Source organism: Homo sapiens, chromosome 10, assembly GCF_000001405.40.
Source record: "Homo sapiens chromosome 10, GRCh38.p14 Primary Assembly".
NCBI lineage: Eukaryota > Metazoa > Chordata > Mammalia > Primates > Hominidae > Homo > Homo sapiens.
Window position 1 is genome coordinate 35,933,128 of NC_000010.11, and position 17,732 is coordinate 35,950,859.

Consider the following 17,732-nt stretch of genomic DNA (forward strand, 5'->3'; position numbering starts at 1 on the left):
CATAGCTTGACCCTTTCCCCTATCCTCCTCTCTCGGGAGCCAGGCTGCCAGATATTATAGTTTGCTTCTCTGCTTGAGAAGATTCCTGGGGACAACTTCAACATGTGTTTGCGACTAGGTGGGTTTGTCTTATTCTGGGGTTTTGTGTTAGAAACTCCATTATTGCCTCACAACACACATTTTCCAACTTGGTTATTCTCAGCAATGAACATACTCTTGATTTCTATCTTCCTGCTCCTTGCCTATTTCTTAATTGATTTAAACATGGTTATGGTAACTCTAAAATAAATACTTTATCTCTGCAATGAGGCCACTAACACAAATAGGGAAATAATATGTGCCTTTTTTTCCCCCTTGGGTCACTCTCCTATTCTTTCAGGAAACATTTATGGTTTGTCTGCCATATCTTCTGTAGATAGATGCTTTTCTTTTTTGTATAGGGTTATACTATATATTAGGGCCATACTATAAAAATGTTAAGGGCTCAAATGTTTGTTGACTGAATGTTGAGGAATTTGGATTTTACTCCATAGGCAAAGAAAAGTAATCAAAGGTAAATAAGACAAGGTCAAAGTCTCCCTCTCCTTTCTTTGCTCAGAGATCAGGTTGAAAATGCAATGGAAACAGGGGTCATATTGGCTTCACTGCACATTTATGTATAAATCACTGGGTGTTTCCCACATTCAGGATTTCTAGGACTAACATAAAGATACCACAAGGTAAATCTAAGGAGTGGAAGGGGTGATGGCGGCTGCAGAAAAAACAGGTTGAGAATACTTAAAACAGATTCCAATAAGTGTGTTTCAGCAGAGAATAGTGGAACACTTAGACATAGAAAGTGACAAAAAGGACTCCCATGTGTCTGCCCTTTGCTGTTTTTCTTATCTCCTTGCAAGTTACCCTAAAAATCATGGTAACTAAATAAAACATCTACTGATTTTTATACTGCTTGTCTCTTTAAGGCCATAGTACCAGTCCTGCCAGGCTATTCATCAGCACAGCCTGGCTATTTTGACAGGTGGACCCAACTAGATCTAGAGTCTTAAATTTATTGTATCAAGATACGGATCATGACACCTGATAGTTGACAGTAAAACTATAACCTGGAAGGCTCACATCATTGGATTTATTTACAACAGAGGAATGCAACATGTCAAATAGCTGCCTTATAGATAAATGGAGCCAGAGATGAGGGAAGATCATCGTTTTTTTCCACTGCCTGGGAAAATTTTAGCCCTGCTGGGCTATGTCTGGGAAAAGATTCCCATTCTGGCTTCCTGCTGCTAGGGGGGTTGGCCTAACTCAAGGCAGAATTCAGCTCAGAGCATTGAAGAGTGGTGCACACAGACCCTCCAGGCAGGGTGCATGAGGCTCCGCCCAAAATCTGCAGTACGATACTGCATGATGCTTAAAGAAAATAGCTCTCTCTCTCTTTTTTTATTTTTAACCAGAGGCGTTTCATGTAATGAAAACCAAAGGCTTTGTGGTTCTTCTCAGGATGGTGTGCTACTTGTCACAATGTGTTTGCAAAATCAGAAGGAGCCTGAATGAACATGTGTGTGTTTAATTCCCCGGCCAAGTCCACCACCACAGCAGGGGCTGGCGCTCAGTGTGATATTGGTTTTCACCAGCTGTTGGGGAGCGAGACACATAACAGGTGGGGAGGGCTGGCAGATGCAACAGCTTGCCTTCTGGTTGCCAAGAAATAGATTGGCCAGCTACAAATGTGGTTGGTCTGAGGAGTGGGATGCCTTTTGCATGGCAAGGACAGGATGGCCACCCTGACAGTGAAAGATGCCAGTGGATCCTGGGTGTGCTTGGGTGGTCCCGATTTCAACCACTGTAGGCGCTGTCAGACCATGTGACAGGTCAGTCAAACCCTGGGTCCTGATACATCTGTGAATATGGAGAGGTTGATTAACCGGCATCAAGCAACACCTGTTTCCTCCAAATTGCACTCAGTTGTCACAGAGTCTGAAATTCCATTATTAGGAATTCACTACTTTGGTCTTGAAGCCCTTTTGTAAAAATTTTCAGGGGTCCCCATTAAAGCAACTGAGTTCATAAGCAGTGGCTAACAGAGAGCAAAGCTCTTATCACAAGGTGAGTGGGTATCAGGATTGAAAGAAGCCACTGAGGGCTTCTGAAGCCCTCCTCCAGGACAGCACTTATGCTGAATGCAATTTCTCTTTTTCCTATTAGATTATGACCTGTATAAGACCAAACACTAAATCTTCTTTATTTTTGCCTCTCTTATAGCTACCCACAACTGTATTGACGTAGATAGGAAACTCAATGAAAAGCTGGAAGCTAAATGCAGGAAAGCCCATCCTCAATTGCATAAAATGGTTGCACACTCACATGCCCAGATGGTTCTCTTTCTCATCTCATACCCTTGAATTTTAAGTATTGTGTTGACCAAACAGTTCCTTGTGCAGCCAGGTTGGACCCATTTGAGATGCAATTAGTCCACTGAAGAGAAAATAATAGAAGTTGGTGGGTCCAATGTCCCTTTTGTTTATTTGGGGAATTGGATAAAATTAGGTTATCCTGCATCATCACACTTCACTGTAAGCATACAGGTTCCCATTCAAAGTGTGTACAGCTAATCTAAAGAAAAATTCACCCACCCGCAGACCCTAATTCTCCCAGCTGATAACCACACTTTTTACTCTACTAGAAAAGAATATGCCTATTTTCAGGCGCACAGATTGTCAACTTCCTCCTTGCCCAATCTTCCATGTCAAATTCATTTATCATTTCATCCATCTTTTTTTTGCTGCTTCTCTGTGGTAGAAAAACGTGTAACCTCCTCTTTCTCCCATACTATATACCCCTTCTCCTCCTCATTCTTCCTTCCTTTCTCCTTCTTCTCTATCTACCCTGGTGTTCTAGCTTCCTTACAACTTTCCAGTTGACCCCAGACTTAAACAAAAACTTTAAAAAAAATCTTCCATATAGCCTTATCTGATGGTCCTTTTTCTTATTCTTAAATATGTTTAACTCTTCCATCTTAAAAACATTTCTTCTCAAGTGTGCCCTGCTTCAAGGCCTCAGCCTAAAGCCCAGTTCACAATTGCCATGCTTCTGGAAAGAGGAGTCCACAGCTCCTTGTGTGCCCAGCTTCTAGTCATCTCCTCCTTATGGCCTTATTCTGCTGATGCTGGTCTTGCGAACATCACCTCACAATTATCCTCTTTCCAGGTCTCATTGTCATTGACCTCTTTGTAGAATGAGACACAGTGGGCCATGCCTTCCCGCATCTTTTTGGTACACTTCCTCTTGCTTTCATTTCTGACTTTCCTGCTTTTGCACCTTAGCTTCTCTAACAGTCTGCCAGGGCTTCCAAAACCCTGTACCACAGACCAAGTGGCTTATGCAACCTAGACTTATTTCCTCACAGTTCTGGAGGCTGGAAGTACAAGATCAAGGTGTCAGTAGAGTTGATTTCTTCTGAGGCCTCTCCTTGGCTTGCAGATGGCCATATTTTTCTGGTATCTTCATATAGTCATCCCTCTCTGGATATCTGTGTCCAAATTTCTTGCACATATAGGGACACCCATCACACTGGCTACCTTTGTAACCTCATTTTGCTGTAATTACCTCTTTAAAGGTCATATCTTCTAATACAGCCACATTCCCAGGTACCAGGGGTGAGAACTTTGACATATGAATTTGGCGGGGGGCGTCCCTGAGCCCACAACACTGCCTACTGCCAGATTCTCTTTCTTTGCCTCTCTTATTTTCTGGTGCTCTCTGCAATTATCTCAGATAATTCCTTGTGTTCTGTCTACATCTGTGTTTCTTAAGAATATGGTTGTAGACTACTGGTTACAAATATTCACCACTTTGCCACATCCCTGTCCTCTTGGATCAGAATCCCTGGGGAGAGATTCAAGGAGTGCACCTTCTGCAGCCTTCATAGATGATTCTTGTGCACCTCGGAGTCTGAGAACTAGGACTCTGCGTGATGCCCAGTCACCTCATTTACTGCCATGGCTTCCGCTACCATCTCTTGGTGGATGTCTTTACATTTAGGGCTCTTTACCTACTTCGTAAGCTTCAAATCCACATTTCCAACTATTATGTGGACAAATCCACCCTGGTGTCTCATTGATATCTCAAACTCCACATGTCCGAGAGGAAATGCCTCCTCATTTGTCTCCAAGTCAGTTCTTCTAAACGCCGGACCCCATCTAATGGCATTCCTGTCTACTTGCACTTCAGAGCTGGAAACCGTAGTGTTCTTCTTTATTTCTCTTATTTCCCTCACCTTCTTCCCTATAAAATTCAGATGATTCTTCCACAGAAATGTCTCTTCAGCCTGACTCTCCTCTTCCCCGTAGAACTGTGCTCCTGGTGCAGACCCTCACCACTGCTGTCTTCCTTGGGTCACTGCACCAGCCTTACCCCTGGTTTCCCATTCTCTCCACACTGCCGTGCAACTCCACACTGCTGCTGGGCTCACTTTTCCAAAACCTCAATGTCATCGCCTCTCTTTCCCTATTTTAAGCCCTTCTGTGAGCTCCCTTGTTAGATGACGGCATGCCTCCCAGCATGGCTGGTCATCAGAGGAACCGGGGTAGTTTTTAATAACCAGACTCCCAGGCTCCAAGGCTTTCCTGATTCACTGGTCTGGGCTGACATCCCGGCTATCTGAGGATCAGCCAAGTCTGGGAACACCTAGGAGGTGGATTCTAGCCCGCAGGATAAAAACCCAACCCCTCCACTTAGGTGGTTCCCAAATCACTTAACCAACCTCCCGAGTCTTGCCTCCCTCTGCCTTTCTCCATGTCCACATAAAACAGGGCTTAGGTTTTTCTAAATCTGATCTAGTTTCTCACCATAACTTTGCAGTTTCTTTCACCTGAAATTCCTTTCTTTACTATTCATTGAGAAATTCCTATTCACCCTTAATGACCCAATTTAAAGATCCCCTCTTTTGTCAAGCTTCCCTAGCCCTGGGTGCCCTTCAGCTTGTTACTCCTATTTCTGTACCAGAATTATTACATCACAATGCAATTTACCTATGCATATATCCAATCTCTCCAAAAGATCGGAAACTCAAGTATCTAATATCTAGCGACACGTAACAGGAGCCTAGTAAATATTTGTTGGATGAATAATCTTTTAACATATAGGTGCTCTGATCTTATGGATAAAGAAAAACCCACAGTGTTTTTGTCATGATCAGAACATGCTTCTGTTTGGAACAAGAGCCCAGACAGGCTCTAGGGTTACAGTTATTCTCTGAGGAACAGGGGACAGCCAGAATGCAACAGGCTGTGACTCAGAATAGGACTCTAGACCCGGTGAATTAACCAATGTCCACCAGAAAATAGATTCAATATCACAGTTAAAGAATGTGGATATATGGGTCCCGGCACTGCAGCTAATGCCTATAATCCCAGTGCTTTGGGAGGCCAAGGTGGGAGGATTACCTGAGGCCGGGAGTTTGAGACCAGACTGGGCAACATAACAAGATCTTGTGACTACAAGAAATTAAGAAATCAGTCAGGTATGGTGCTGTGCCCTGTAGACCCAGCTACTTGGGAGTCTGAGGCAGGAGGATTCTTGAGCCCAGCCTTTAATGAGACTGCGGTGAGCTGTGATTGTGCCACTGCACTCTATACTAGGCAACGGTGTGAGGCTCTATCTCTTAAAAAAAAAAAAAAAAAGGATGTAGACATGCAGAACAGAGGGCATCACCTAATGCTATAAGCATATTGAGTTGGGTTAAAAATGTCCACATGTTCTTTGAGGCCCCTCCCACTAAGAGGTGGAGCTTATTTTCCCACCCCTGAATCTGGACTGCCCTTGTGACTTGCTTTGCCCAGTAGATGACATGGACATTACAGGGCATGACTTCAGAGTGAGGCCTCAAAAGCCCTTGTAGTTTCTGTTCTTGCCTCCTTGAAACACTTTTTCCATCATGAAATAGAGTCCTGCTCAGCCTCCTGGAGCATGAGAGGCCACATGGAAGAGAGCTGAAGTGCCTTAGCCAACAGCCCCAGGTGACCACCAGGCAGGTGAGTGAGGCCACCTAAGATGAGCCCGTCACCAGCTGAGCTGCCACCTGACTGCAGGTGCACAAGGACACCCAGCCAATACCACATGAGCAGAGCCCAGCTGTCCCTGCCACACCCCACTCTCACTGCAAGGACCCAAAATCATAACCAGTTAAATGAGTGGAGATTTTGCACCACCGAGTTTTGGGATGGTTTGTTTTTTAATAAAGATAACTGGTACATGGGTTGGTAGGCATAGTAGTGGTATTTTGGAACAAGAATTACTGAACTGACAAGACATTTTCCACAACCTCCATGAGATAAGGGAGGCCCTGATGTTCTATAAGCCTTAGGCAGGATTGGCTTAGGGACTGAGTGGAGTTGAACCTGAAGCTGAGATCCAGATCTCACTCTTGGCAGCTCAGAGACACCAGGGGGAAACAGATTGGCTGGAAAGGAGAGTCAACAGTAAGCACCACTAAACTGCACAACCATGTTTTCAGTGATCACCTAGTGTGCTTGAGCATGTGCTGTGTGGACATGGATGCAGTCATTGTCAGATATGTAAAAACATAGCTGGAACTATAATGGAGTCTTACAATGTGATCTTGTCCTGAGAACTCCTGAAAAATTATATGCTTTTCAAAGTTGTCTTTTATTGTTAGTTTCTTTAGTAGTGTTGCTTTAAGCAGCTTCCTAATGCCACACAAATCCTGAATTGTGTATAGGGATAATTAGTAGGTATATAGCCTAGGTTCTCTTAAACAGAGTTCTTCTGAAACATCAGCCCCACGGTTCCACAGCTGACACAGACGAACTGGGGATGGACGCTTAAACACATCAGCACAATCCATAAAGGTGTGAGGGTGTTTGGCATAAAGGGCATCCTGGTTTTTGGGGCCTGCTCTTCTGCAGATGCAGTGCGATACTCCCCCGCACTTCATCCCCATGATGGCTTTTGTCTGTTATCATATCTCAGTGCATTTCAGAACTCAGCTTCTGTTGTCATTTTTTCACTCTCCTCTTTACAAGATTTCATTACATTTTCCATGTTTTAATCCAAACAGCCAATGCCAAAAAAAAAAAAAAAAAGGAGAGAAAGAAAGTACAGCTGTGGTGAGTCATTAAAGTGATTTTTCCAGCTGTTTAACTATTATGTCTGGCCCCACAGCAGCCTCTAAAAGACTAAGAAAATGTTCTGCTTAGACTTTCTAGGGCTGAAAGTTTACAGATCACCAATTTTTCTTATATTAACAAACCCTTGTTATCACCTCTTGGAGCAATGGAGCAGAGGAACACAGGGAGGAAACGAAGGATTAAAATGTTTTAGTGTAGTCATAAAAATCTCGAGCACTGGAGTCAACAGACCTGGGCTTCAATCAGGGATCAGCTGCTGATGAGCTCAAGACACTGAGCATGTGACTTAGCTTCTCTGCATCTGTGTCTTCTTCGGTGATATGAGGGTATTATCTCAGTTACAGAGTCACTGAGGAGAGTAAATTGACTGATGTAAAAACATTTACTTCAGCAGTAACTGCCGTGTAGCCCGGGCTCCAACCCGGCGGCTGCGATGATTTTGATAGTCTGGAGGCCTTGTCTGTGGCCCTGGCTCTTCCTTCCCTGGCGGGGCGTGAGCTTTGCATTGTGCTTCTCCCAGCAGTTGGGGTGTGGAGGAGGAGCGCACAGCAGGCTGCGGTGTTGTGCCAGATGGCCCAGGTGTATTGCTTTCATGAAATTTACAACACGGGATATTTACACCTGTCACAGCTGTCACTCACTACAGGCAGATCAGACAGTGCTCCCTGAGAGCTGAGCAGGAATCTGTCACAATCTAGCTGTGCAGAGATGCCAGGCTCTCTTCCCTGCCGCCTGGCAGAGTGGAGAGGATGCTTTTCCATCTTCCCCACTTGGCAGCTAACTCAGTGCAAGGAGAGTCCCGTTTTGTACTCTTGCTCCTGCATCCCCTAACACCCTTGGGAATTTAGGTATCTAGAGGGAGGGTGGTTCTACCTTTAAGAGATTGCTGGGTGTATAAGAAAATAACCTGGTGCAGCTGGAAGGGTCTGGGACTGGAGTCTGGCACTAGGCTTACAATGGTGTTGCTGGTTAGCAGTAGCTTCTTCTGCGTAAGAGTCACTGAACCTCTTCAGATGCCAGCTCCTTTTTGTTAGGAAAAATAGTATGCATTTTGAATAGGAATAATCTCTAAGAAACCTACTATGTCTATATACTTCTGACTTTTATATCAAGAAGGCGTCATCCCAGGTTGCTAAATGAAAACATTAGACACAGCAATAAAAAGAAAGGATTCATTGAGACACATTGACCCCTTGGCTTTACCTCATAATTATTTCCAAAGTTCTCATAATCATGGCTGCAATCGATCATGGGCTTTTGGTTCGCAATGTAAGGAACTGAGAGAAATCCAATACAATACCAGTTCTTAACAGAAGCATGAATCCTTTTTTCCGTGAGCATGAAGCAAAATGTCCATATGAAAATAAGAAATAAGTATAAATGGTACAAGGATACACATTCAGAAAAAGTTATAAGACTATTTAAATTAGTTGAATATTAACAAAAGGGAGACACATTTTGATTAATCTGAAAGTGAATAAACACAAATTTTATTTCTAATCATTGTCTTATCTCAGAAGAGGTAATGTTACGGAAATATATTATAAAAACCCAATGTTCTCAAGAGTTATTGACCAATCATAAAGTTATGGAGAAGTCCAAATAAGTTACTTAAATATTTGTATACTGTTGGGGATTTTGATTAGGAGAAAGGAGTTAATTCTAGTAATCTATTGGGATGTTATTTAACATTATGTTTTATATTGCACGTTAGGAAAGACGGTAGAGGTAAATCTCAGTATTAACCATTAGACAAGTATAGCTTAGCCTCAATCTTCACAGAACTTGAAGTTCTAGTGGCTTGTGGTTCAAAAGCTTTCTGACCTCATGAATGGTAGAATGGTAGGTCCATAACAGTGAATGGAATCCACAAAACGCAGTGTTAGAGGTACATGGATAAAATAACATCCTCCAGCACACTTTGACCCCTTGCTTTCCTAGTCCCCAGCAGTGCTGGTAGCAGAGAGCAGTTGGCTATGGTCCACTGCACAGGATGGCTGTGATGTCATTTAGGAAGCCATCTGGAGGTTTGGCGATGAGCCTGTCACAACTTCACTTGTGCCATGACAAAATGCTGAAGTATCGCAGATTTCTTCCTGGCCCTTAGCTTCTGCTCTAGGGACACATTAGGACTTTGAGGATCTCATAAAATATTTCTTCCTTCATCCTGGACTCACTTTTTATCCAACACAATGCATCTAATGCATCTTGGGAGAATAACTCAGCCTGCTCTCATGCCTCCTTCTTTCATTTTGGGGTCTATATTGAATAAAGTAATTGATGTATCAATACATTTGGCATATTTGCATTATTGTGTCTTTAGGTTTCCTAGAAAATAAGATGTATTCAGGCTGGGTGCAGTGCTCACTCCTGTAATCCCAGCACTTTGGGAAGCCTAGGTGGGTGGAACTCTTGAGTTCATGAGTTCAAGATAGGCCTGGGCAACATGGCAAAACCCTTTCTCTACAAAAAATGCAAAATAATTTAGCCGGGTGTGGTGATATGCATCTGTAGTCCCAGCTACTCTAGAGGCTGAGGTGGGAGAATGGCTTGAGCCTGGGAGGAGGTTGCAGTGAGTTGAGATCGGGTCACTGCACTCCAGCCTGGGCAATAGAGCCAGACCTTGTCAAAAAAAAAAAAAAAGTAAAATGTAACCTACTGTGATCAAACAGGGCATTTGGTTAGAAATAACTGTTGTGGGATGATGTGTGATTCCTATGAAATGGTCTATTAATGGCTTATTTCAATACTTTCAAAAACTTTTTAATTTTATCAAAAATCTTTAAAGTCAATAAATCTTAAAATATTATAATTGAGCTGATTCTCCCAAGTGCCATTTTTTTTCCTTGAGGATCCTTAAGATCTCAGGATTTTTTTTTAAAGCTGGTACTAGATGACTGTGGAGATCAGTTTATATGAGTCAAATATAAATTTATAGATGTAGCTAACCCCCATTTTTCATTAAGCCTTAAAATAGCCTGAGACCTTTTTCCCTGAGGTCAGTCCATGGCAGAACCATTTTTTTTCACTTTCACAAATTTTCATAACCAAATGTAGTTTGATTAATTAGTGACATGATTTATAAACTCTAGATATAATTCTCAGCTATAGGGAGATTTCCAGTCATTGGGAGCCGCCCCTTTTCATGTAGGCAAAGAAGCTGTTGTACGTTATGGCCAAGAACACACCGCTGCCTTCCGAGTTGGTGCTGATTTCGCCTATCATGGTGGTTGTGAACCACACTGCAACTCATTGTTATTATGTTTTGAGATGGAGTTTTGCTCTTGTTGCCCAGGCTGGAGTGCAGTAGCACGATCTTGGCTCACTGCAACCTCTGCCTCCAAGTTCAAGTGATTCTCTTGCCTCAGCCTCCTAAGTAGCAGGGATTACAGGTGCCCACCACCGTGCCTGGCTAATATTTTGTATTTTTAATTGAGACAAGGTTTTACCATATTGGCCAGGCTGGTCTCAAACTCCTGACCTCAGGTGATCCACCTGCCCCAGCCTCCCAGAGTTTTGGGATTACAGGTGTGAGCCACCAGGCCCGGCCTGCAACTTATTTTGATGGGCTCCTTGATCTCAATTCCGTCTATGTGCTGCTTCCCATCACTGTTTGCTTAGTAATATTTACATTAATTTTTTCATGTTTGATACATAATTTATTATTTTAGCTAGTAGTTAAAATGTATACACAACTGTATTTAACTATGGATCCTTTTTATTGTTGGAAATCCCCTAGGAAGAAACAAATTTGATATTATAAGTATGGAATAGTTAAGACCCTCACACATTTTCCTTCAAGCAAATCAGTTTTTTTCTGCAAATCGAAATCATAATGAAATACCATCTCACACCAGTCAGAATGGCTATTATTAAAAAGTGAAAAAACAGCAGATGTTGGTGAGGCTACAGTGAAGAGAATGCTTATACACTGTTGGTAGGAATGTAATTTAGTTCCACCATTACGGAAAGCAGTTTGGAGATTTCTCAAAGAACTAAAAATAGAGCTACCACTTCACCCAGCAATCCCATTTCTGGGTATATATCCAAAGGGGGAAAACAAAACATTCTACTAAAAAGACACATGCACTCACACGTTTATTGAAGCACTAGTCGCAATAGCAAAGAAATGAAATCAACCTAGGAGCCCATCAACAGTGGATTGGATAAAGAAAATGTGGTACATATGCACTATGGAATACTATGCAGCCATAAAAAAGAATGAGATCATGCCCTTTTTAGGGACATGCATGCAGCTGGAGGCCATTATCCTAAACAAGTTAACACAGAATCAGAGAACCAGATGTTACATGTTCTCATTTGTGAGTAGGAGCTAAACACTGGGGACACATGGACATAAAGATGGGAATAATAGACATGGGGGGCTACTACAGGGGAGAGGGAGGGAGGAAAGTAAGGGTTGAAAAACCGCCTACTGGGGCTGGGCGCAGTGGCTCACACCTGTAATCCTAGCACTTTGGGAGGTGGAGGTGGGCAGATCACCTGAGGTCAGGAGTTCAAGACCAGCCTGGCCAACATGGTGAAACTCTGTCTCTAGCAAAAATACAAAAATTAGCCAGGCGTGGTGGTGCACGCCTGTAATCCCAGCTACTCAGGAAGCTAAGGCAGGAGAATTGCTCGAACCCGGAAGGTGGAGGTTGCAGTGAGCTGAGATCCGGCCACTGCACTCCAGCCTGGGGGACAACAGCAAGACTCTGTCTCAAAAAAAAAAAAAAAAACTACCTATCGGGTACTATGGTCAATACTTGGGCAATGGGTTTAATAGAAACCCAACCCTTAGTATCATGAAATATACCCTCGTAACAAACCTGCACATGTACCCTCTGAACCTAAAACAAAAGCTGAAAAAAGTAAATCCAGATTTCTTGACACTGGCACCATTGACATTTCTGGCGGGATTATGATTGTGGGGAGGGGCTGTCCTGTGCATTGTAGGACACTGAGCACCATCCCAGTCTCTGCCCACCTGCTGTCAGTAGCATTCCCTCCCCCAGTCTTAACAACCAGAAATATTTATAGGAATTGCCAAATGGCCCCTGAAGGGCAAAATCATTTCTGATTGAGGATCGCTAATTTGAACAGTTGCTTTTTATGATATCATTTGATAACATGCAGTTTCTTAGAAATTCAGCTCTCAAATTACAGCGGCATAGATTTTTAGAGCTTAGAGAAGTATTTTAATAACATGTACAATTTGTTTCATCTGCACTAACATAAAAGCAAGGTATTTTAAATATTTATCCACATTTTGTCACTGAAACTTACCACCCTACTGCTCTAAAACTTTAAACATTGAATGTTCATTGGTCAAGAAAATTAAACCTCATTGTGTCAGATCACTGGGATTTTTTACTTCTTTATTTTTTGCTTTCTTCAGTTTTTAAATATTATTTTAAAATGTTGTCAAAGTCAATTTAACAGCCTTCCCCATCCCTTCAGTTTTACCACTTTAAATTCTGGAAGATAGTCTAGTTTTTTGGAATTATTTTCAACACAAACATATATAGACTCTAAGGAAGAGTTTGAAGCTCTCTTTTATGAAAACCATGTGAGATCTTTAGGCAGCAATTTTGGAAAAACCCATATAATTGCTCGAAAGTTTTCTAGATCTTGACTCTGTGCTAAAGAGTTGAGGTTACCAAGTAATGAATCTTTGAGTAAGTAAAGTTTACTGATCAGAGCTAACTGGGGCTCTGAATTGTAGGAGGTTCTTTTTAAACTGAATCTCCAATAACCCTCTATTGTTGGAATATCTACTAATTTTTATGAAGGTATTTCCATGACCACCAGCTTACAACGTGACGCCCCATGTCTCGCTACATCTGTCAGGGCCTCGTCCCTCTGTTTCCATTAGATTTTGCCTTTTTAAATGTCTCTTCACCTTTCGACAGACTGTTCTTTCTGCTAGAGCTGCCTTCTCCCTCTTGTGTAGCAAACTCCTACTCCCACTTCAAAGCCTAAGTCACTACTCACCTTCCCTGTGAAACTATCATACATGTATCCAAAGAACATCAGCCTCCTCTTCCTCGGACTGCTAACAGCCTTCGAACTTTTCTCCATGTTTCATTTACTCCACTTTATTTTATTTGCAAAATTCTCTCCTCCAGCAGGCTGGGCACTCCCGGGGGAAGGAACTTCATCTTTTTCAATATTGGTGGCTCTGGCACTGGTCCTTTCTGTCTGGGACTGTCCTGGTTCTGTATACACAACTGTCTTAAACTTCTTGCCAGTTACCCTTGTCTTTGCCATTCAGGGCAGGGCAGGGTCCTCATATTGATTCATGAAGGACACTCTCTTTGTTGGGCGATTTGCACAGTGGTTATGATAGCTAATGGTCCTTACTGTTTCTGTTTGATTAAAATAGAGGCAGCCTTTTCCCTTCCAAAGACTATCTTTCTGTAGAAGAAATGCCATGGAGAAATTCCAGAGTTACTGCAAGTACTGCTAGCAGGGATTAGTCTGAATCAGACCATCATATTCTGTTAGTCATAGTAATGGAAAGAGAAGGGCTTTGATATTCTTGCTGGCGCAACACAATGAGGACAGGGACCAGACAGAAGCTCGCACACATCTGGTTGTTTAATTCTTTTTGTAATTTATCAGGGACAATCTGTCTCATTTTTGAAGATAACTGGAGAGAACAGATCTGGAGGAAGGTCTAGACAAAAAAAAAAAAAACAAGAAACAAACCAACCAAAAAAATGAACTTGAAAATGAAAGCTACACAATAGAATATCCACTGACCCTGGTCCTAAATAAGTTCATTCCAGGGGGGAATATTTAAAACACAGGGAAAAAACTCAGACTTCCCTGTTCATGGAATACAGTTATAGCCACTGACCAACATAGTCTTGAGACAGAGTGAAAGATACTGAAATACACGCCTGAGCAGTTTTCTCAGAGGCTTTGACTTTGTAGCATGGCTGAGATTTCATTTGCTTTGTAGATATGGCTTCTGGGTTGCAGGGGACAAGGACTTTGGGGAGGTTGGAGAGTTGGGGGAAAACTGGCAGCTAAGCAGCTTGCAAGCTTCAGGCTTCTTCTTATTTTCTTCCTTAAAGGGATTCCTGGAAAAGGAAAGTGCTTTGACTGGGGAAACCTTGGCCAGGTTTGACCTGCTTCTCCTTGCAATTTCAAAAAGCCCTGCTCTCATCCTGGCCTCACCCTAATGCCAGCCTTACACCTAGTTTTTGTAAGTCTGCATTAGGAATGGAACTGTCGCAGCACGAGGGAATGGCTATTTTCTCCAGAGTCCAACTCCAAGCACAAAATGCTAGGATTTCCTCAAAGTGCATCCACATTGGTGAGCGTCATGGTTAAGATTAATGATCCGACTTACTCGTAAATTTCGGGTTGACTAAGAATCAGAAATTTTAGGCTACTGTATGGCCCAGCACAAATATTGTAGGGCAAGAAAATACCTTTGTCCTTCCTATATTTTTTCTTATAATTTAGCTCTTTCTTCACCACATCATGCAGCTGAATTGAGCCAAGCGTTAGTGGTGGGGATAAAAATAATGCTGGAATCACTCTCCCCCATTCCAACTTCCACTCTCTTCACGTGCACAGCTCCACTTCGTACAACACTGTCATGTTTGGAGCCAAAGTTCTCCAACATATTACCAACTGAAACACAATTAAGTAATTCTTTTTTAGAGACAGGTCTTCCTCAGTTGCCCAGGCTGGAGTGCAGTGGTGTGATCACAGCTCACTGCAGCCTAGAACTCCTGGGCTCAAGCAAACCTCCCACCTCAGCCTCCCAAGTAGCTGGGATGACAGGAGTGTGCCAAGCCTGGCTTTTTTTTTTTTTTTTTTTTTGGTAGAGATGGAGTCTCACTAGGTTGCCCAGGTTGGTCTCAAACTCCTGGGCTCAAGCAATCCTCCCACCTCACTGTCCCAAAGTGCAAGAATTATAGGCATGAGCCACTGCACCCAGCCACAATCAAGTAAAACTTATGATAAGTCTATAAAGAGCAATTAAGGGGGTAAGAAACTCTTTGGGAGCATGTAGTTTACCACTAAAGAATCATGTCATGCCATAACCTTCTTCGACTGGAAGGAGGCTGGAGGCAGCCTTATAGGCTAAACCCACTCACTTTGGAAAACACTTGTTCTTCCCCCGGTCTTACGTTATTTCCACAGGTTGGGTTCTGAGCTCGAGCTGTTCTTGCCACATGAGGGGTCTTCTGGGTCTCCTGGCTTGGAGTACAAGTTGATTATGCAGGTGACCGGGGTCCAGGTTTTATCTCCCTGTGCTCCGAACGCACCCCACACCTCCTCTATTTTAGCATATTTTCCAGTTGATTGCAAATGTGTGCTCACTCATCTTTTCCCCCCACTAGACAGTAAGCCTGATCTTGCTCACTCGCAGTTAGCTTCTGGACAACTTGTGGCATATAATAAATTTTGCTCAACAAAATTTATGAAATGAATGAGTCTCTCCAATTTGAATCCAAGCTTTCCATGTTATTTTGGAAACTGCCATGGGAGCTGTGTCTGAATGTGGTGATGGGTGAAGGTCTCGTACTGTCAGGACACTTCCCTAGGTACTGAGCCATGCTGGGGCTGCCTTTCCACTGGACTGGTTGTCATGCTAGCTTCTGGTGGGTGTGTTTAAGGTGATACACTCCCATCTCCAAGTAACATGCCGATCTTTATGTTTACAGGCGGTTGGGTAGCTTGACTGCACTGGGGGCTGAGCTGGTCTCCATGAGGTTGGAGTGTGCAGACTTCATACCGCCCATCCACCTGCCTTTCATTTCCCTCTTTCAAGCAGCCTATAAACTGGGATCAGAGCTACAACCCAGCTGAACTGTGTCCCCTCTGCCTGTTTTTGTCACATTTCTATTACTTTTTTTTTCCTCAAAAATTAACTTCCAAGACTTAAAACACCAAGAACCACCCCCAGTGGAAGGCGATAAGAGGGCATGGGTGTGTTTAGCAACTGCGAGTTGTAGTGGCTCCATGTGAAGCATTTCAAATGTAAACTGGGATTAGAATGTACAGGGCTCACTAACTTGAGTGACTGCTCACCCTCCCTTTCCCAAAAAGAAGGGGGCTTATTAGAGGCAGTACTTTGCCTTAAAGAGTGACTGTTGTTCAGTGTATTTCTATCAAGCACTTAATACACATTCACACCCACACACACATACACACACACACTCTCATAGAGGCTAACCAAGTCCTGAATTCCATCGTCTCTCAACTGTTTGATTCAATGATTGTTATTAAGCAGTAAACCCACACCAACCATGCAGTCATTGTGCTTCTGAAAAATGTAAATGTCACTTTTTTGGTCTTTAAAAATTATTAAGCAGAGAGAAAGATAGCAATTTCCAGTGTTTGCTCGGATGGTAAGATGCAGGAGAATTTGCATTACTCCTGAGAGCTGCCATTGGTTAGCTGGAGGGAAAAAGGATATCAATTATACATAATCTAAGAAGCCTCTGCATAATAATCAGGCCCAGTAGGGGCTTTGGGGCAGCTTCGTTATTCTCTTGTAAACACAAGAGCCCAGATAGACATGTCAGTCAGGAGTAGCGGCAGCAATTCTTCCTTTTTAACACCTTCACATTCTATTGCTTCAATATGCAAACAAGGCTGTTTAGCTGAGGGTAGAGCGGTGCTAATGAGCTCCCTGCACTAACCCTGAAGTAAAAAGGTTCTGTTTCACAGCTGCTCAGAGACAGCTCCTCTGGGCATGCTCAGGTATCGGAAAATAATGCCTTTTAAACAGAGAAATGCCAATCAGGATTTTGTGCATACTTTCCCTTTTCTCTATGTGCTAATGCAATTACCTCACAACTTGTGAACTTCCAGTGCATTTGTCTGGTGTTTTTTCCCTAAATGATATGTTCGGAATGTGGATGTGGAAGAACGCTTGCAAAATGCAGGGACTGGGAAAACTGGGCATTCTCTTAATGCCTAGAGGACGCTACCTCAAAGCCCATGCTCACGTTTCCGCCTTCAAGGTGGACCGTTCTTTTATCTCTTTTTTCCCCCAAATATTATTATTCCTTTTCTTCCCTGGGTCACTTTAATGACCTGAATGGACAATGCAGATCAGGACAAGCTTCTCAAGCCGCAGGGTTTGTGCCCCAACCTCTGTGGTTTGGGAGCTACCGTGGGTCCCGGGCTCTGGGCATTGCTCCATCTTGGCAACTCCATAATTGGCTGAGCAAAGACACACAGGACGGAGGAGGGGGGCAGGGAGGGAGGGGGCTTCACATAGCAGTTGACAGTTTCAAATCAAGACACCATACATGATGGCTTTTCAATATCCAATTATTCTCATGAATAAAGAAATCTCTTACACAGAAATATTCTTCCAATCCCCACTGGGTTAATTTACCATCTACAGAAACCACTCAGCTTTGCTGGCTAAATAACAGGGTCTGTGATTTCTTGTGTAATTATAGGACCTCCTCCTTCTCACCATTAATTCAATCTCAGGGCCATGCCTTCTAGGTGCCTGACATGGAAGACAGGGCCTGTCCGTTGTGCCTGATAAAGGGATGTTAATACCAGCATGAATATCCTCCACTCTTAACCAGCGTCTTAACTCCT

General features: G+C 43.0%; 1 annotated feature.

Annotated features, from left to right (window-relative positions):
- Positions 16,087 to 17,038: an enhancer, noted in NCBI's record as "NANOG hESC enhancer chr10:36238142-36239093 (GRCh37/hg19 assembly coordinates)". NCBI's record gives its function as "activates a minimal SCP1, AML or CMV promoter by ChIP-STARR-seq in primed H9 embryonic stem cells {active_cell/tissue: H9 hESC(primed)}" and the evidence as "EXISTENCE:reporter gene assay evidence [ECO:0000049][PMID:30033119]".